Below are 22,285 nucleotides of genomic sequence, written 5' to 3'. Positions count from 1 at the left end.
AACAGAAGAGTACTCGTGTACACAAGCATTTGTTAGTCTTTCAATTCTCTCATACTTAGCTATGAATGGTCAACCAAGGTCCATCAACCATCAGCCTATAAGCAAGGACCATCAACGATGTGAGGAAAAACGGCAACATGAAATAGAAGGACAATGGTAAGCAAACTGAGAAACTTATCCTGGGGAGAAGGAGGTGATTGAGAGATTGGAGAAATTAAAACAAAACAAACCAAAGTAAAAACTCTCTGAAAAATGAAAGTCTTACATCCATAAAACAATAATATGGTGCCAAAAAAGGAAGCATCAGATAACAGAAATGAACTCTTTGAAAGTAAAAGTATAATCACAATTATAAGAAAGAGTCAATAAGGAATTTGAAGCTGGGCCTGGTTGGCTCACACCTGTAATCCCAACACTTTGGGAGGCCGAGGTGGGTGGACCCCTTGTGGCCAGGAGTTCGAGACCATCTTGGCCAACATGGTGAAACCCCGTCTCTACTAAAAATACAAAAATTAGCTGGGCGTGGTGCACTCCTGTAATCCCAGCTATTTGGGAGGCTGAAGCATGAGAATTGCTTGAGCCCAGGTGGCTGAGGTTGCAGTGAGCTAAGATGGCACACTGCACTCCAGCCCGGGCAGCAGAGCAATGTTCTGTCTCAAAAAAAAAAAAAAAAAAAGAAGTTGGAAGACAAAGTTAAGAAAATGTCCCAGAAAGTAGGGAAAAGACGTCAAAGATTCAGAAAGTGTGGGAAATGTTGTTAAATGATGCAGAGATTTAACCCAAGGAATGAAACATTTGATGAATTGAATTTTCACAGAAAGAGTGAAGAAAGAAAATGGACCGGGAAGGGAGGCAAACAAACTATAGATGAAAGGGGCCACTTAACCTTGATGCTGGGTCTATTCTCCTTTGAGTAGTACAGGAGCCATGACACTGAACTTAGCAACTGCATGATCTTACAGTAAGCAGTATTAATATAGTCATAGTGAGAAGGCTGCTATCAGGTTTTGGTTTTTAGAATAAATTGCAGACAAAGCACAAAAATATGACACCTTCACTCATGTTTATTGAAGCACTATTCACAATAGCAAAGACAGAATCAAGCTAAGTGCCCATCAGTGGTGGATTGGATAAAGAAACTGTGGTACATTTACACCATGGAATACTATACAGCCATAAAAAGAATGAAATCATGTCATTCGCAGCAATATGGATGCAGCTGAAGGCCATTAACCTGAGTAAATTGATGCGGAAACAGAAAACGAAATATCGCATGTTTTCACTGATAAGTATGCTAAACCTTGGGCACACACATACATAAAGATGGGAACAATAGGCACCAGGGACTCCAAAAGGACAGAGGAAGTGGGGGGTGCGAGGGTTGAAAACCATTCTGTTAGGTACTATGCTCACTTCCTCGGTGACGGGAACAATAGAAGCCAAAACCTCAGCATCATGAAATATACCCTTGTAATAAACCTGCACATGTATCCCCTGAATATAAAATTAACATTTTCCTATTCAACATAATATTAGAAGTTCTGGCCAGAGGAATCAGGCAAGAGAAAGAAATAAAGGTCACCCAAATAGGAAGAGAGGAAGTTAAACTATCCCTGTTTGCTGACAACATAATCTTATATCTAGAAAACCCCATCATCTCTGCCAAAAACTCCTTAAGCTTATATATAACTTCAACAAAGTCTCAGGATACAAAATTGATGTGCAAAAGTCACTAGCATACCTATACACCAACAACAGTCAAGCTGAGAGACAAATCAGGAATGAACGCCCATTCACAATTGCCTCAAAAAGAATAAAATACCAAGGAATACAGCTAACCAGGGAGGTGAAAGATCTCTACAAGGAGAACTACAAAATACTGCTGATAGAAATCAGAGATGACACAAACAAATGGAAAAACATCCCATGCTCATGAATAGGAAGAATCAATATCGTTAAAACGGCCGTACTGCCCAAAGCAATTTATAGATTCAATGCTATGCCTATTAAACTACCACTGACATTCTTCACAGAACTAGAAAAAAACTATTTTAAAATGAGTATGGAACCAAAAAGGATCCCAAATAGCCAAGGCAGTCCTAAGCAAAAAGAGCAAAACTGGAGGCATCATGCTACCCGACTTCAAACTATACCACGGGCCTACAGTAGCCAAAACAGCATGAAACTGTGACAAAAACAGACACATAGCCCAATGGAACAGAATAGAGAACCCAGAAATACAACCGCCAACCTTCAGCTATCTGATCTTCGACAAACCTGACAAAAACAAGCAATGGGGAAAGGATTCACTATTTAACAAATGTTGCTGGGATAACTGGCTAGCCATTTGCAGAAGACTGAAACTGGACCTCTTCTTTACACTATGTACAAAAATGAACTCAAGATGGTTTAAAGATGTAAATGTAAAACCCCAAACTGTAAAAACACTGGAAGACCACCTAAGCAAGACCACTCAAGACATAGGCACGGGTAAAGATTTAATGACGAAGATGCCAAAAGCAATTGCAACAAAAGCAAAAATTGACAAATGGGATGGAAGAGCTTCTGCATAATGAAAATAAAGAAACTATCAAAAGAGTGAACAGACAACCTATAGAATGGGAGAAAATGTTTTCAAAGTCTGTGTCTGACAAAGGTCTAATATCCAGCATCTATAAGAAGTTTACATTTACAAGAAAAAACAAACGATCCCATAAAAAAGTGGAAAAAGGACATGAATAGACACTTTTCAAAGACATACATGTGGCCAACAATCATATGAAAAATAAGCTCGACACCACTGATCATTAGAGAAATGCAAATCAAATCACAATGAGGTAGCATCTCACACCAATCAGAATGGTTACTATGGGAGCTAATAATAATAATAATAATGGCTATTGTGGGAGCTAAATGATGAGAACACATGGACACATCGAGGGGAACAACACTCACTGGGGCCTATTGGAAGGTGGAGTGTTGGAGGAAGGAGAGGATCAGGAAAAAAAAGAATGGATACTAGGCTAAATTCCTGGGTGATGAAATAATCTGTACACAAACCCTCATGACACAAGTTTACCTATGTAACAAACCTGCACATGTACCCCTGAACTTAAAAGTTTAAAAAAAATTATAAATGTTGCCTTGGAAGGACCATTAAGAATCATTTACATATTAGCATGAATTGATTTCTTGATTTTCTCTTAACTTGGAAAATAAAAGTATAGTATTTTGGGGCCAGGCACCGTTGCTCATGCCTGTAATCCCAGCACTTTGGGAAGCCGAGGCAGGTGGATCACAAGGTCAAGAGAATGAGACCATCCTGGCCAACATGGTGAAACCCCATCTCTACTAAAAATAAAATAAAATAAAATAAAAACAAAATTAGCTGGGTGTGGTGGCATGTGCCTGTAGTCCCAGTTACTCAGGAGGCTGAGGCAGGAGAATCGCTTGAACCGGGGAGGCGGAGGCTGCAGTGAGCCGAGATCGCACCACTGGGCGACAGAGCAAGACTCCTCAAAAAAAAAAAAAAAAAAAGTTTAGTATTTTGGGAAAATATGAAATAGAATTTGGAGAAAGTGAGGCTTTATGAAGACAAAGTATGCCTATATAATGAATTTTTATTTACTATTTGATGATTTTTCTAGGGTCAACCTTATTTAGTACCATCAAGGAATGTACATTTTAGCTCTCTTTTATAGACTTCTAACTCCATCAGGATCTACATGCCATATTCCATGTGTAAGTTTTTGTAAAGGCATCCAGAATTACTAGTGCATTTTTTATTACTTTGACTATTGCAGAAGTGTTCAATTATACCCTATATAATTAATAAAATGTGACATTTGACCTCAAAATATAAAAGTCAAATTTAAATTAACAAAAGCACAAAATGTTGTTATAATTATTATGGTTATGACAGAATGTATATATTCAACCTGAAAATTCAAAGTAATGGTATAGTTGAGAGAGATTTGGAGAGAGATGTTGGGAAGGAATGGGTAGAAAGGGTGTGGGCCTTAAAATGCTCATGCTTTGAAAGAAGTGAGGCGATTCTCTGTAGAGGCTATGACATAACAAATAAAGGTTGGATATTATTTAATGCAACTATTAGAAGATATGAAATCTTGATACCCAGTAACTTACATAATTGGAAGTGATGTGGAGAGAAGAGAAAAAAAGAATAGTATAAATAAAATACATTTTAATCATTCATGGTAATATACCAAATTAATATACTTTGCTAGGACTGTCATAACAAAGTAGCTCAAACTGGGCAGCTTAAACAACAGAGATTTATTCTCTCTCTGTTCTGGAGGCTGGAAGTCTAAAATCAAGGTGTCAGCAGGGTCAGTTCTTTCTGACGCTTGTGAGCAACTATCTGTTCCATGCCTCCCCATAGTTTCTGGTGACTGCTGGCAGTCTTTGGCATTCCGTGGCTTGTGGAGGCATCACCCCCATCTCTTTCTTCATATTCACATGGTTTTCTTCCTGTGTGCAGTTCTGTCTCTGTCACCAAATTTCCACTTTTTATAAGGAAACAGTTGCATTTGACTATGGGTCACCTTAATGATTTCATCCGAACTCATCTGCAGTATGAGTTCATCTGAACTCATACTGAACTGAACTCTAGTACTGATGTGAAGGGATTTTGCAGTAATTAAAGTATCAATCAGTGAATCTTGAGATACAGAGATTATGTAGGTAGGATAAATTTTGTCATACAAGCCCTTTCAAACCAGAAAGTTTTCTCTGGATGGTGATAGAAAGAGAAGCCAGATCACCCTATATGCAAATAAGGTCACGTTCACATGTACTAGGGGTTAGAATGTTGACTTTTTTTTGGGTAACACCATTCAACCCCTAATCTATGACAAGATTAAGAAAACAACATAAGAAATATAATAACATAAAAAACATAAGAAATTACAATTTAAATATTTTATTACTCTTTATTATTTCAATATAATATATACATGATATCAATGATAAGATACACACCACTGCATTAATTATATTAATTACAGTAATAGAATTAACCGTCACATCAAACAAAAATCATAATAGATGAAAACTATTCACCTCTATGAGTTATGAATTGGGGTGGGTAAAAAACAGGGTGGGGGCAGATTTAGATTAACCATTTTGTTGTATTTTATTTCTTGTCATAAACATTTATTTCTTTGATGAAAATTAGAAAAAAGTTTAGTCTACTCTTTCCTGAGCAATTTATATACATTAGGTTTCTCTTTCTTAAGATGAAGCTGTAACTAGCATACAGTCAAATTCATCCTTTCTAGTATACAATTTTGTGAATTTTGACAAGTGCATACATTCAGGTAACTACAACTATGATCAAAATATGAAAGAATTCGATTACTTTCCTCCTCATTCATGCTGGATTCCCTTTCATTCCTTTGTAGCCAACTTATCCCTTTGCCCTAGCACTTGTAACCACTGATATATTTTCTGGCTCTATGTTTTGCCTTTTCCAGCAAGGCATATATGGAATTAAACATTTTGTAGGCTTTGAATCTGTATTCCTTCACCTTTAAGATTTATGTCTTTTATTACTGAATAGTATTCTATTGCATGTTTTACCATGGTTTATCCATTCACCAGCTGGGGGACATTAATCAGTGTTGTTTCTAGTTTTTAGAAATTAAAATAAAGCCACTAAAAATATTCATGTATGGATTTTTGTATATGAAATATGTTTATATTTCATTTGGGGAAATGCCTAGGAGTGGCATTGACTAATGATGTTCAGCATCTTTTCATGTGCTCATTAGCTATTCATATATCTTCTTAGCAAATGTTTATTCATATCTTTTGCCCATCCTGTAACTGGGTTGCTTGCCATCTTATTATTGAATCGTAAGTGGTGTTTATATATTCTGAATATAAGTTGTCTATTAGGTATATAAATTCAAAAGTAGTTTCTCCCAGTCTGTGGCTTGTCTTTTCCCTTCTTAATGATGTTTTGGTAAGCCTTTTTTTTTTTCTTTTTTTTCCTTCCCATGCTACACTTATGTAAGCATAATTTTAAACGTGTCTCCCCGTTTCCTGTCCTCTGGATATCCAATAACTAATCTAGGTACTGATGTGAAGGGATTTTGCAGTAATTAAAGTATTAATCAGTCGAGCTTAAGATACAGAGATTATATAGGTAGGATAAATTTTGTCACAGAAGCCCTTTCAAACCAGAAAGTTTTCTCTGGATGGTGTTAGAAAGAGAAGCCAGAGAGATTCAAAGCATAAGAAGGTTTTGATGTACACACCATTGCTGGCTTGAAGATGGAATGGGTCACAGGATGTAGAATGTGGCTACCTCTAGAAGCTAAATGTGGCTCCTCACTGACAGTCAGCAAGGAAGGGAGGCTTTCAGCCCTAAAGGTGAAAACAACTAAATCCTGTCAATAACATGAATAACATGAATGGCCCCGTGCTTCAGATAACAGTGTAGCCAGCTGACATTTTGATTTCAGTTTGAGCACAAACCAGCCATGCCCTGGCAGACTTTTGAACTATAGCATTGTGAAGCAATAAATTGGGTGTTTTGAGCAGCTAAACTTGTAATAATATGTTTTTAATTTTGAAGGTTGCTTTTTTCCATTTTTTTCTTTTAGGGTTTGTACCTTTGTTCTTATAATTAATTGTGAATAAGACTGCCAAAGTCACAGAAACTTTCACCTAGAATTTTAATAGTTTTAGCTTTTACATTTAGGACTATGACCCATTTGGGGTTAATTTTTGTGTATGAGTGTTGATTTTTTTTGAAATTTCTTATTTTGAAAATTATATTTTTTCTTTATCATATTTTATTTTAATTCTGTCAGATATTTTTCTTTAATTCTTTAAATGTGGCTTATTTTAATTCTTTGAACATAGTTATAATAAATGCTTTGAAGTCTTTGTCCGCTAAACGCAACTTCCTTATCCACTCAGAGTTAATTTTTATTGACAGTTTAGTTCCCTGAATATAGGTCACACTTTCCTTTTTTTTCTGTCTTGTAAATTTTTGTCAAGAACCAGACATCTTAGATAATATATTGTAGCAAATATAATTCTGATTTTTTTCCCCTGAGTGCTGTTATTCCTGCTTTTTGTGTGTTGTTATTGTTTTGCTTGTTTTCTTTTGTTCTGGTTTTAACTTGCCGGAACTTAATCTGTTGAATCTGTCTTCCCCATGATATGTGGCTGCTGATGTCTCTGTTTATTTTAAGAAAAATTTAAAGGTTAAGTTTATGCTGGCTTTCTAGTGGCTCCTCTGTGTCTGCATAGTTTGGTAGTCAACCAATGATTGTCCTCAAACACCTTGACCGTAAGATTTCCGTCTTCTGCTGATGGATCTGTGGGAGGGTTTGGGAGCCCATTCAACATTCAGACAGTTTTCAGACGTTCACAGAGTTTACTTTCTGCCAGGCCCTCCTGGGTCTTTCCTGTAGACTTGCATAGCATCCAAGCCCATGCAGGATGTGTAGACAGCTGGGCCCTCTTGAATCTTCCCTGCACGTGTGCACAGCCTCCCAGTTAGCCAGAGACCTGAGAAGCAATCAGCCAGCCCTTCTTTGGCCCTCTCATCTCTAGGTTCTTCCTGCCAAATTAATGACTAGTCAAATTTTCCACTGCTCCACCCAAGCGGGACTGCAATTCAGGGTGGTAGAGCCATGGGCTTTCATTTGCTTCCCATTAGTTTGCTACTTCCACTTACAATACAACTGGGTGTGGATTTTCTGCCCTAGCATCAAATGAAGTCATCTCCCTCCAACAGTGAAATTGTTGTTTTTTTGGCCAGACTTTCCCTGGCAACTTTACAACACTGGTCTGGCCGGAATAAGGTCAGGGTAGTGGGGGACTGGAGCAACCTCAACCAAGAATGCCATGGACTCCCCCAGTTCATGCCTTAATTTGAGCAGTTTTCCATTAATGAATGTTTTTCTCTGTTTGTTTTTCACCTCTGGTCATTTTCCAGAGCACTGAGATTACTGTTTTAGACTCTTTTCTTCTTGCAATTTTATAATTGTTTTTTGAAGGCTGACTTTTGACAATCTTCATTCCACCATGTTCATATCCCACATCATCATTTCTGTTTTTTTTTTTTTTTTTTTTGGAGACGGAGTCTTGCTTTGTTGCCCAGGCTGGAGTGTAGTGGTGCATTCTTGGCTCACTGCAACCTCTACCTCCCGGGTTCAAGAGATTCTTCTGCCTCAGCCTCCGGAGTAGCTGGGATTACAGGTGCACGCCACCACACCTGGCTAATTTTTGTGTATTTTTAGTAGAAACTGGGTTTTGCCATGTTGGCCAGGCTGGTGGCAAACTCCTGACCTCTGGTGATCCACCCACCTCTGCTTCCCAAAGTGTTGGGATTACAGGTGTGAGCCACGACATCCGGCCCCACATCATAATTTCTGAAAGATATTTTTCAGGGTATAAAATTTTGTATTTATGATTTTTTTTTCTGTAAAGATGTTTCCTTTGCTGCCTGCTGGTTCACATAGTTTTTGATTGTCTGCTGTAATTCGTATGTGTGTTCCTCTGTGTGTGATATGCCTCTTTGTCTGCCTTCAAGATTTTTTCTTTGCTGTTGGTTTTTTGTAGTTTGTAGATGATATATCCAGGTGTGTTTTATGCTAGTTGGTCTTCTCTGAGTTCCTTCGAATGTGAGTTTTGGTGTCCATCACTAATTTGAGGGAATTCCTAGCCACCATCCCTTCAGTGGTTTTTCTACCCTGTGCTCCCTTCTCCTTTTGCTTTCAAAATTACAGGTATGTCCGATTATTTGAATTGGTCCCATCACTCTCAGATCCTCTGCATTAACTTTTTTTTAAACTCATTAAAAAAGATCTTTGTGGTTAAATTTGAGTAATTTCTATTGGTAATAGTTTGAGTTCAACTGATTCTATCCTCAGTCATGTTGAGACTACTAATGAGGTTGTTGATAGCATTCTGAATACCATACTATTTGTAACATTTTCATTTAATTCTTTCTTATAGTTTCCATCTCTCTGCTGAAATTCCACATCTAGTCAGGTATGTTGTCCACCTTTTATATTAGGGCCTTTAACACTTTAATCACTTTATTTTTAATTATCTGACATTTTCAACACCTGGGTCACATCTGATTCTGCTTCTCTTGATTGCTTTGTCTATCTGACAGAGTGCCCCCTCTCCTCCACTCTCCCTTTGCTTTTTTATATGTCACCTGACTTTATCAGAAAGCTGGTCATTTTGGGTAGGACAGTAGAGACTGAGATAAACATTCTTTATACCCAGAAATGGCATGCCTTTTATTTTGTTAGTCTTTCAATGTGTGGGGGTCAGTCTGTCTAGCCAGGACAGGACTTGAGCTGGGTGTGGTTGTTGTTGTCGTTAAGGCTATCATCAGTGTGTCACAGGCTGAGAACTCCTCTAGTCTTAACTCATGCTTAGAGTGGTGGCTGTTAATAGGAGAAGTTTCTTCAGTGTTGGCTTAAGGTTCAAGTTTAAGCCCTTTTTTTTTTTGAGATGGAGCCTTGCTCTGTTGCCCAGGCTGGAGTGCAGTAGTGCTATTTCGGCTCACCGCAACCTCCACCTCCTGGGTTCAAGCAATTCTCCTGTCTCAGCCTCCCAAGTAGCTGGGACTATAGGCATGTGCCACCACGTCCGGCTAATTTTTGTATTTTTAGTAGAGATGGGGTTTCACCGTGTTAGCCAGGATAGTCTCGATCTCCTGATCTCGTGATTTGCCTGCCTCGGCCTCCCAAAGTTCTGGGATTACAGGCGTAAGCCACCGTGCCTGGCCATATTTAAGTCCTTTCTTTGCAGCTTTCCTTTAGACAGCGTCGCTCTTTATGTTTTTGCTCCTCTTCCACCAGGGCATTGATATTATTGGCTACTCAGTGCTTGCTAGCCTGATGGTAGGCTGCATGGATATTCTTCTCAGAATTAAGCTGGAGCTGTGTCTCTGGGTCTCAGGGATGGGGCCATCTCAGTGATCCTGTCCCTCTGCCTTAAGTAGGAGACCTCTAATAATTCGGGCCAGGAAATTTTCTTGCTCCTACCACAGGGTTACAGGGTATGTTTGTATTCTCTTCTCCCAGCTGCAAAGAGTCTTAACCTGTGGCTTGGTACAACAGGGTTCACTGCCTTTCCAACAGATGAGGCTTCTTTTCCTTAGGAGAGGTACAGATGGAATATTCAGGTAAGGCTTTGTGCTTTTCTATAGTGGCTTCTCTTCCTCTCCACAAAACCTGCATCACTAGGGAAGCTTTCTATGGACCAGGGTTTCTCAATAGCAGCTCTGTTGATATTATGGATTGGGCAATTCTTTGTCGTAGTGGACTCGTCTATGTATTGTAGGATGTTTAGCCACATTACTGGCCTCTACCCACTGGATCCCCCAAGTTGTGACAATCAAAAATATCTCCACACATTGCCAAAGGTCCCCTTGGAGGCAAAGTTTCCCCCCATTTGGATCCACCACTCTGGGCTCTCATCTTGCCCCAGTATTTATTCTGAGCACCCAGAAGGTCTATGGAGAAGAAGCTGTGAGTAGATGTGAATTTCCCTTGTGTTTGAAGACCCCACAAGTTCTATACTGTTAACTAAGCCACATTCAGACTTTAGACATTTTTGACAATTTTTGGGTGAATTCTTCTTACTGATTCGCAAGGGGTCTCCTACCTGCTCCAGTAAGCAAGTGCTTGCGTCCTGTCACTCCTTGGAGGCACTTTACTGTCTCTAGGTTTCGGATTAATCTGTCACCCTATGACCTCAGCTCTCTGATGAGTTTAATAGCATTGGTAAATTTGCAGATTACTTAGGATATTTATTGCTTTACATTTGGGAATGATGCCCTTTCCAGCTTTGGACACCTTAAGTGGAAGCTGGAAGTCTGATATACACAATCTTAAAAATTTCTCAAATATCCTGTAGAGAAACTGGAGACTTTCAGAGGTTAAGCAACTCCTCTGTGTGCAGGAGATTTGAACCAGTTCTTTCTTTCTTTTTTTTTTTGAGACGGAGTCTTGCTCTGTCTCCCAGGCTGGAGTGCAGTGGTGCGATCTCAGCTCACTGAAAGCTCTATCCCCCGGGTTCATGCCATTCTCCTTCATCAGCCTCCCGAGTAGCTGGGACTACAGACGCCCGCCACCATGCCCGGCTAATTTTTTGTATTTTTAGTAGAGACGGGGTTTCACCATGTTAGCCAGGATGGTCTCGATCTCCTGACCTTGTGATCCGCCCGCCTCTGCCTCCCAAAGTGTTGGGATTACAGGCGTGAGCCACCGCGCCCGGCCAAACCAGTTCTTTCTTAACCATACATGCCAGTCCATTCCACACTGCTGTTCTTACTCCTATGTAGAGTGATGGTGTGTTAACTATTGACTCTCCAAGGCAGGGTTTATATTCCTCTTTTTACTTATTCCTCAATGTAGATTTAGACAGTAGTGCAGAAAACTACTGGGCAGGATGAGGGGGAGAATGATGGTGGAGCAGTTTGTCATTGTGGGTACCAGGCCTCCTCTCATCTGTCTCTCAGAAGTTTCAAATTCGGATGCCTGTAGGGGCCAGGCAAGAAACATAAATGAGTTAAGTGTGCTGGGTCTATGTGGGCTCTCGTTTTCCTTGACACTTGTGGCCCTGCTTTTGTTAGTGACAGGGGAAAATCTTTCTTTGTAAGAAAAACAGCAGTGCAAGCTAAGGATTGGCAGAGTTTTTAAAATTGGGGCATACATTGTGAGGGCTCCTGGACATTCCCTATTGTCTTAGAGCCATCCATGAATATTACCTATCTGCCTTGAGATCACTTCATTCAACATTACATAAATATTTTTCAAGCACCCACTGCTTCCGAGGCTCTGCTCTTCGTTCCAAGGATGTAGCAATGACTAAAACGACGCCTTAATGGAGAGGACATTTTGGTTTGTGGTCTGCAGTAGGGAGAATGGGATCTATGGGCCTGGAGAGTATTGCCTGAAAAACACGCTGCTGCCACTCACCTCTGGCCAATTGCTGCCAACCATGAATGCTGATTCTATGTTGCCAAAGCTTTTAATTTTCCAAGACAAATCAGAAATCGGATTTCTATTTTAAGTGGCAACTTTCTTATTTTTAAATACTGGCTCAACATTTTAAAAATCACTGTGGAGGTTAAACAAAATGTGTCTGCAGACAGAATCTGGCTTGCGACCTCTGTTAAATACCATCTTTGCCCTTGCTGGTCTGCTTGAGAAGAGAAATGCAATGAAACGACAGCTGTAGCCATGTTAATTCCCTTCTCTGGAAGCAGTGAACCAGTCGTCAGAGATTTGGCAATTCCAAGGCTTAATTTGCAATCTAAGGCCAACGATTTCAGTGAAAGCCGTTTTAAAATCAGCCTTCAAATCAACAAACAACAAAATGACTATACAAATCAGCAGTGTTTATTAACCTGGACTCAAGAGAATGTGGCCAACAGGTTACTTGCAAGCAGGGGATATTGAAGTTATTAATCTGCTTGCAAGTTGGAGATTGGTTTTTAGAAAATGATCCCTATTGTAGGCCACTTGTATTTCTATAAACATGCTACACTGTGATCCAAACCTGCAGCCACAGTGTGAGTTTTGCAGTGGTGTCCGTTTGTTTATTTATTAAGTCTAGGATTCCTGATAAAGCATAAAGTTATTATTTTGGTAAATTTACAGTGTTTATAATTTCTTTTTCTTTAAGCTAGCTACTTTGGAGGTTTTTTTTGACAGTGAACGTCTTTTTTTTTATTTTTTTTTTGGGAGATGGGAGTCTTGTTCTTGCTGTGTCACCCAGGCTGGAATGCAGTGGCTCAATCTCGGCTCACTGCAACTCTCACCTCCCGGGTTCAAGGTATTCTCCTGCCTCTGCCTCCCGAGTAGCTGGGATTACAGGTGTGCATGACCACGCCTGGCTAAGTTTTAGTAGAGACGGGCTTTCACCATGTTGGCCAGGCTGGTCTCGAACTCCTGACCTCAGGCAATCCACTCGGCCTCTCAAAGTGCTGAGATAACAGGTGTGAGCTACTGCACCTGGCCAACAGTGAAGGTCTTATAGATAGTTTAGCAAATGAATCCATTTTCTGATTGGCTTCCTATTTTGCCAGTTACTCGAGCAGTCGTTTTTTGTGTTTCAAAAGGAATGTGGTAATGTGTCCGGAATTGGTGGGTTCTTGATCTCACTGACTTCAAGAATGAAGCCACAGAACCTCACGGTGGGTGTTCCAGTTCTTAAACACAGTGTCTGGCGTTTGTTCCTTCTGATGTTCGGATGTGTTAGGAATTTCTTTCTTCTGGTGAGTTCGTGATCTCGCTGGCTCAGCAGTGAAGCTGCAGACCTTCGTGGTGAGTGTTACAGCTCATAAAAGCAGTGCAGACCCAAAAAGCAAGCAGCAGTAAGATTCATTGCAAACAGCAAAAGAACAAAGTTCTCAGACCATGGAAGAGGACCAGACTGGGTTGCCACTGCAGCTCGGGCAGCCTGCTTTTATTCCCTTATCTGGCCCCACCCACATCCTGCTGATTGGTCCATTTTACAGAGAGCTGATTGCTCTATTTTACAGAGAGCTGATTGGTCCGTTTTGACAGGGTGCTGATTGGTGCATTTACAATCCCTGACCTAGACACAAAAGTTCTCTAAGTCCCCACTAGATTAGCTAGACACAGAGCACTGATTGGTGCATTCACAAACCTTGAGCTAGACACAGGGTGCTGACTGGTGCATTTACAAACCTTGAGCTAGACACAGAGTGCTGATTGGTGTATTCACAATCTCTTAGCTAGACATAAAGGTTCTCGAAGTCCCCACTAGACTCAAGAGCCCAGCTGGCTTCACTCAGTGGATCTCGCACCGGGGTGGCAGGTGGAGCTGCCTGCCAGCGCCATGCTTTGCGTCTGCAGTCCTCAGCCCTTGGGCGGTCAATGGGACCGGGTGCTGTGGAGCAGGGGGCGGCGCTCGTGGGGGAGGCTGGGGCTGTGCAAGAGCTGGGGGCGGGGGCGAGGGCAGGGGCGGCGAGGGGGAGGCTCAGGCATGGCGGGCTGCAGGTCCGAGCCCTGGCCGGCAGGAAGGCAGCTAAGGCTCGGGGAGAAATCGAGTGCAGTGTTGGTGGGCCGGCACTGCTGGGGGACCCGGCGCACCCTCCGCAGCTGCTAGCCCTGGTGATAAGCCCTGTACTGCCCGGGGCTGGCGGGGGCCAGCCGGCCTTTCCGAGTGCAGGCCGGCCAAGCCCATGCCCATACAGAACTCTAGCTGGCCCACAAGTGTGGCGCACAGCCCTGGTTCCCGCCCGCGCCTCTCCCTCCACACCTCCCGGCAAGCTCAGGGAGGCAGCTCTGGCCTCAACCAGCCCAGAGAGGGGCCCCCACAGCGCAGTGGCGGGATGAAGGGCTCCCCAAGCATGGCCAGAGTGGACACTTTGAGGCCAAGGAGGTGCCAAGAGTGAGTGAGGGCTGCAAGGGCTGCCAGCACGCTGTCATCCTTCAGTAGCTGATCATTAATAATCACTAACTTGTTGAAATTATTACATACTGACAGAATCTACTCATTGTCCTATGAACTTCTTGTTTTGATTTTCTTCACCACTCTTTGCTCACGTGTTTCTTCCGTTTCCCGTTTCCCATTTGACTGTCTATTCCTCAAAGTTCACTCTGCTGCCTGTGCACATATTTACTGGGTCCCTGCATCCTCTATACTGATCCAGCTCCTCTGGCCTCTGGAACCCAGCCTCATACGTCTTTTCTCTATCCCCACCACTTGCCAGAGCTCCTTAGGAGCTGAAGGGCTGTTTTCCAGCTTTTAACAATTCTTTCCTACTTTTGAGGTCTCTGAACTAAGCCCTGAGGAGTTGCACTGGGGACACATTTTCATGTGTCGGTATATCCATCACAGCCAACAGCTTGCCAAAATCTGTTCATGCTCTAAAGCCAGGTCACATGTTTACTGATTTTCCTTGACTCAGGATGGGCCATTTGCTTTTCATCACCCGTGTTCTGCTGGTTGTCCCCCATTTGTGAGGGTCTGACTACAACCCCCAAATTCCAGCTCATACAAACTCAGTGACTGACATGCTTTATTGAAATAATGCCTAATTGAACCTGTCAGAGATTCCCAAGTGGGGAGGCACCCTGGGCCACTCTCGTTGTTCCTGAGACAGGGCAATGGACAGCTAGCTGTACGCCTCCCCTGGTGACAGCAGCTTTTTAAAATGATACAACACTCACTTCTATCAGGCTGCCTTCTGGATTCAACTCTACATTTTGTCTGAGATAATGAGGAATTTTGATCTTATTTTACAATTATATTGGGTCTTACTCTACTGAGACTGCATTCTGAATATTTGTGCAGAAAGGCATTTAAAATGCAGCCATCTATGAAGGAAGACAAGTGGTCTGCCTTATGAAGTTTCCTGAGCATTCTATTTATGTTAATAGAGGCAACCTGGGCTTTTTGGCTTATACACTTTGGGTTATATGTCTGCAGAATACATTTTTGATGACAATAACTTGAGCAATGTTACAAATTACAAACATTTTCAAAGACAGATATTGACTATTAGATTAAGGCCAAATTCAAGGGAAAAAAATTCTGCTCCACATATGTTCCTAGAAGTAGATGCTTTTGAATTACTCTTCAGTCACTGTGCTGTGGAAAACACAAGCAAGTCAAACTTCAATTTCTGCTAATTGTTTAAATTTTTAAAATCTTGACACTGGTTTTTTCTTTTAAATAATTTTACATGTCTTTCACTTATTTTAGGAAGTAATTCAATATAATCTTTAAAACTTATGTTACTTTTACATAAAACAGTAGGAGTTTTTAAATTAGCACTAGAAGGACTAAAATCTTTCATTTTTCAACATTGATACTATTCAAAAGCTCATATACACAAAGCGTATATAATTTTTGAAAACAATAATAGATAGCTCTTGACTTTGAAAAAGTAATTTTTGAAAACAATAATAGCTCTGAATAAGAAAAGTGTCACATGTATCATTCATACATGATGGGCTTTATTTTACTGTCAAATACTGATAACCATCTCAAAAGGGCAAACTTCGAGTTTAAAATTTAAAAGAATTTTTTTTTTTTTTTTTTTTTTGAGACAGGGTCTGGCTCTGTCACCCAGGCTGGAATGCAGTGGCACCATATCACCTCACCACAACCTCTGTCTCACAGGCTCAAGCCAGCCTCCCACCTCAGCCTCCCAAGCTGGGACTCCAGGCATGTGCCACCATGCCTGGCTAATTTTTATATTTTTTGTAGAGATGGGTGTCTCACTATATTGCCCAGGCTGGTCTCAAACTCCTAAGCTCAAGCAATCCACCCACCTTGGCCTCCCAAAGTACTAGGATTACAAGTGTGAGCCACCATATATGGCCTAAAAGATTATTCTGGTGAATGTTTACAATAGTTTAATAAATGCTGAGATCATCATCATCATTCATTAAAAAAATTCCATTTATTCTAATTATCTGGGCCCAGACTGTATTCTGGTGTAGTATTTCTGTCAATTAAAATAATATCAAATGTAATCATTTGCAGATTGACCTTAATAATTTATTGTATGACTTTAAGGAGTTTTATGAGTGTTAGAACCACATTTCCTTTCATTATAATTTTTATATTTTATATCTTTGCTGGATAACGGTCTCAGGGTGTAATCTGCTTAGCCCCTCAATACACATATTTATCATTGACTTTATCAGATATTATCTACTTACGACTGTTGCACAACTGGATCATAACTTTTAAATGATAAACAGTACAGGTACCTAAGGTATGCAGCAGCAAGTTGTCATTGTAACTTCAATGCAATCTGAATTTGTCACTTTTGGGGCATAAAATAGGATATTTAAGCATCTAAATCAAATCTGAAGTTTTCCTAGAGATTGCCTTTGTAAAACATGTTGAGAATATTGACTGACCCTCAGTTTATTAGGAATCTCGCTTAAGAAATGAGCAACAACAATAAAAGTAGGACACCAGCTTATATCCTGTTGACTTTATACTTAGATTTTTTCAGAACCATTAAGTAGCACTGTAGCTGTCCAATCCCACATTGCTTAACATAGCTCATGATTGGGTCAATTTACCTTGGTTTTTAAATATTCTTTTTCTTTTTTAGAGAGACTGGATTGAAATCTGTGCATTGCCAAGGGCAAGAAGCTGAGAACATGGAGAGAGAGGTAAGATCGATGTCACAGTAGGCCCCTCCTTAATTTTTTTTCCTTTAAAAGCAAGGCTTTCAAGCTTGACTTTTCGTTTTCCATGGATGGAAAGTATAGAAGTGAGTAGAAATGTAGCCTCCTTTGTAGCACTCACGAGTAAAGAGGATGATTAACGAGTGTAGCAGGGAACATCGTAGCAAAAGAGAGTCTACGGAAGAGAAACAAAAGTGCCTCAGAATTCCCAAGGATTCCCATGATCCATAGTAGGACCTCATGGTGCCTGTCCGCTGTTTCTATTTTTGATTAGATTTATAAACACAGCACCACATATTTTCATGTGGCTTATCGCCTAGGGGCAGAATCAGATTGGCTGCACTGAAACTGTGAGGCTTGTGAATTTTGGGCAAGGGCTAATGTGAAATAAGTAGTGTAATTGTTTTTGTGGAGTGACCGTGGGACCTCCTCTGTTCTGAATTACACATGGCTCAACCCTTTGACCTGACCAGACTCTGCAAAGGCTGGCAGGACTCCTAACGCTGTGCTGAAAGGGTCGTCGCTGGACAAGCTGGAACGTTATCTGTCAGGCCAGATGTGGGCCAACAACTAGATTCAAATATATTAATTACTAGTAGGACACATTTGCGACCACTTCGGCTTCACTTAACCCATCATCATATAAGTTATTATTTCAACAGGAAGTGCCAGTGCGGGGAATGTTTAGAATCCAAATGTAGCACAGATCCTTTGATAAATAGATTATTAGGCTATTTTTTTTTTTAGTTTACTAAATTTTGGATCATCTTTGAGAATATTTTGCCTAATAATTCAAGCATTATTATTTTGATTTTTCTAATATCCCCAGGTTTGGGGGGGAATGTCATAAGCCATGATTAAAACTCTTTCATCTCAACGAGTTTAATTCTTTCAAAATAGATGGTAATCCACTGATATAATTCCTTGAAAGAATCAAAGCTGCGGGAATGCAGAGAACTGGGAAAAGATTTGGGAGAATCATAGGTGCTGACATTTGTGCAATTGTGGAGAATTCATTCTGTGATGCACATGATGATGAGTTGGATAAAGATGTTTATGTCTATCTAGGTATGATTTTGAAGTGACACCCTTGAATTTTTGTTTCGGATTCAGCAGCTTAAATTTTCAAAGGCAATCTAAGCGGAAATCTCAAGTTTATTTTTAGGCCCTTGACATTATTACCAAAACTAGTCCTACTTCTGGAATATGCCTAAAAATTTTTTAAATTTGCTTTCTTTCCTTGCCAATGCTACAAAGTAAAGGTCTCTGTAGATATTTTATGTTTACACTCACATGGAAATAATTTAGCATTTAAATATTTGCTTTCTTATCTGAGGCAACTCAGGCTAAATATTAATTCAATTCTTAGTTACATGACACTTAAAATTTTCTTTAAAGAGTACACAACTTTATGTGTTGGTATTTTGTTTTTGTTTTTGTTTTTGTTTTTGTTTGAATTGTATTTTTCTCTTCCTCCAGTGACTCTAAACATGAAAATGGGGAGGTCCTCATCCAATCAGTTACAAAAAATAAAAAAATAAAAAATAAAAAACACTAAGATATTCTATAAGTCCCCCAACAGAACTGCATTCAGCCCTACCCAGTCTCACTCTCATTAGCAGTGAAGGGTTTGCTCTCCACACAATCTAACGTGGAATGCTTAGAGCAGACAGGTGCAAATTGCAAGCTGTTTCACTTTGGCTGTTATCCCTTGAATCGACAAAGTAATAGACTGGGAGAACAAAAAAGGTTCCAGCTCAAGCTGCATAAATGAAAGTCTTAACAGGGACACACCAGCTGGCTAGGAGAATTCAATGTAGTGAATACTAAACATTACCTTTGTGCCACTTGCCAACGAAAAGGGCTTCAGTGACACCCCCTCCCTTTGATGATTGAGATGATGTGCCTTCAAAATCGTATTTTGCTTTATTGTAAAGGCGATACTGTGGCCGAAGTGGATGAGAACGGAATCCAACATACCTGTTCCTGTAATGTTGCCATCATTACACTCCTCCGAGCGATTCAGGCATGATTAGGTTCCTGGAGTGGGACCAGATTGACAGTATTTCTATCCACGTCTTTTTTGGCTGATCCAAGCAAAGCCCTAGAGCAGTGAAACAACAAAACACAATCACTAGCACCCCCGCCTCCCCAGCAAGATGAATCGCTGAGCTGGTCTGCCGAAAAAAACAGTTGTTCATATTAGGAACACCTAATTTCATTTCATGGAAGAGCCATGCCATGCCGGGATGTGTAGGAATCTAAGGTATGCGTTTCCAAAAAGAGACCCTAACTCTGTCATTCCAAAGTTGCTTCTCTTTGTGACTCCCCAGTGTGTACAGGAACTGTTGTCTGCAAGAAGGAACTTTTCACTTGAGCTTTGAGGCTACTGACTTGGTCTGACCCTGCAGATAAGGGTAGGAAGAAAAAGAGCTGGCCTTGTTTACAGCCGGACAGAAGAAAACAGCCAGACACAAATGAGGGGTGACGGTTTCATGAAGCACAATTGGTTGATCCCAGATGCAATCTGACTGCCCTGAACTGAGCGATGATCCGTACAGTATGCAGAATTCACTTTCTTGCTGGTCTGTGCCCACCAGCCTTGGAGGAGTGCTCCCTGCGTCCCTCAGCCATGGCTTTGAGTGCAACCAGAGCTGAACAACTGCACCGCAGGACCCGATTCCTTCTGACAACAATCACATTCTTTTAAAAACTTCATAGGTTTTGGTTGTCACTGGTTATAAATGAGTTTGTTGTTGTTCATGTTTGCTACTCTATCGTAGATTTCCTTTCAAGTTGAGAGTGTCCGCATCAAAAGATATTTGTTGCTTTTTAATGAAAAGGAAAATATTATCGGAAACTGTCAGTTCTTAAAAATTTCAGGTTTTCAGGGATTTTTTTTTCTGTTCAAATCACAAAGTATTGTTTCTTCCACATTACTGAATATATTTAATAGGGTAGCCTTACTAAAATTATTAAAAGGAACTGATTTAGCACTATTTAAACACACATATAAATATGTTACCTTTCAGTTATTCAAGATGAGTAAGTTCTAGGGATCTGTGGTCCAGCATCGTGCTGATAGTTAACACTGCAGTGATGAAACTTGTGTTAAGAGGGTAGATCTCATGTCATCTGTTCTTATCACAATAAAAAAATGCTTTAAAAGTGTGTCCCTTTAGAGAGTTACTTTGCGTTATAGCTGCTAAATAGAAACACGAAGGCAAAAGCCACAAAGCCTATCCATAGCAGATTTATTAATAGTTAAGATTTCTAGAGATTTTGCTGATCTTCAAAACTGAACAGATATCAGTGAGAAGCAGGAGGATGCTGGTGATGAAATTTTGTTTTTTTTAATTTAATTTTTGACATTCAGTATAGGAATTTAGTAAGTTAATGTGAACTTATTAAAATGCTAACATTTACATAAATACACTAAGTTAACTACTGGTAATGAATGAATTGATGTAAAATATGAGTGAAGGATTATTTTGCATGAGCTAAAGAGATAAAAATCTCATCAGGAAAGAGAGACTGAATTGAGAAGGGGGTGGGGAAAATGCAATTTACGCCACTTAAAGGTGCCCATGTGTAAAGGAGAGAAAACAGTGAGGAAATTGGCAAAAGAGAGAAGTCAGAAATCACTCCTAATTTCCTCTTGAACATATGTTAGTAGTGAAGAGGTCACAAAATACAAACCACCGCTTGGTGATCCTCTCAAAGAATTCATCTCTGGTGTGTACAATCAGACATTGCTTTCCTTTTGAATATGTGAACTTGTGAAAATATGTTTGAGACCTTTTTAACATTAGAGAGCAAGTCCATAATTTCATTTGAAGTCCTTAGTAAGGAAATGAGGTCTATTAATAGGCCACATCCATCTATTTAAAAGCATGTTTAACTCGATCTGAAAGGAGTGAAGTGCCAAAATTACTGAACCATGTCAAGAAAACTAATATCTGCTGTTACCTCAGCTGAAGGCTGTGAAAAAAACAATCAGACTTCAACCTCTTTCTTAATAAAATGTAGGAACATTTAGTGCAGTGGTGAACTACCCTTTTTAAAGTTTAGCAAGTTTTTTATGAATGTAGTCTAATTTATTTTATCTATTTATTTTTGTTTTGTTTGAAACGGAGTCTCGCTCTGTTACCCAGGCTGGAGTGCAGTGGCACGATCTCGGCTCACTGCAAGCTCCGCCTCCCGGGTTCACGCCATTCTCCCGCCTCAGCCTCCTGAGTAGCTGGGACTACAGGCGGCCGCCACCAAGCCTGGCTAATTTTTTTTTTTTTTTGTATTTTTAATAGAGACGGGGTTTCACCGTGCTAGCCAGGATGGTCTCAATCTCCTGACCTCGTGATCCACTCGCCTCAACCTCCCAAAGTGCTGGGATTACAGGCGTGAGCCACCGCGCCTGGCCTATCTTTTTTTTCTTTTTTTGAGACGGAGTCTCGCTCTGTCGCCCAGGCTGGAGTGCAGTGGCGCGATCTCGGCTCACTGCAAGCTCCGCCTGCCGGGTTCACGCCATTCTCCTGCCTCAGCCTCCGGAGTAGCTGGGACTACAGGCGTCCGCCACTACACCCGGCTAATTTTGTTTTTGTATTTTTAGTAGAGACGGGGTTTCACTGTGTTAGCCAGGATGGTCTCGAGATCCGCTTGCCTCGGCCTACCAAAGTGCTGGGATTAGAGGCGTGAGCCACCGCTCCCAGCCTGAAATAACTTTTTAACCTATTTTACACTAAATATTTACTTTTGTTTCAGAGGGATTCTCGGAAAACTAGGCCCTGTATTTGGGTTGGCTGCGTGGCATATTTGTTAGTAAATCTCCAACATGGCTTTATGATATTATGATATTTATGCAACTTATGATGTTATGATTTAATTGCTTTATAATGTGATAAAAATAATAAAAAATTTTTGAAAAATTCAGGTTTATTGTAAACATTTTAACAAAAAATGGGAATATTAGAAGCTTTAGCAAACCCATTACAAGCAATGACATAGGATTTAAAAATAGACAAGGCATTTTGTAATTTTGAATTTAGTCGTCAGAAACTATTAAATGAGTTGTCAAACATGGCACTATCTTAGAAACAGAACTG

At 40.4% G+C, this 22,285-nt stretch overlaps 1 pseudogene across 1 annotated transcript in view; it reads left to right on the top strand.

Moving 5' to 3' along the window:
• Positions 1 to 22,285, top strand: part of OFCC1 (orofacial cleft 1 candidate 1 (pseudogene)) — a 506,631-nt pseudogene that overhangs the window by 255,149 nt on the left and 229,197 nt on the right. Inside the window, exon 3 of the transcript NR_170155.1 lies at positions 17,111 to 17,171. The product of NR_170155.1 is annotated as an orofacial cleft 1 candidate 1 (pseudogene) (transcript). The remainder of the gene's footprint in view (positions 1 to 17,110; positions 17,172 to 22,285) is intronic.

Source organism: Homo sapiens, chromosome 6 (assembly GCF_000001405.40).
Source record: "Homo sapiens chromosome 6, GRCh38.p14 Primary Assembly".
Lineage (NCBI taxonomy): Eukaryota > Metazoa > Chordata > Mammalia > Primates > Hominidae > Homo > Homo sapiens.
Note: the sequence above shows the minus strand (reverse complement) of the source record. Positions and strands in the feature narration are given on the sequence as shown.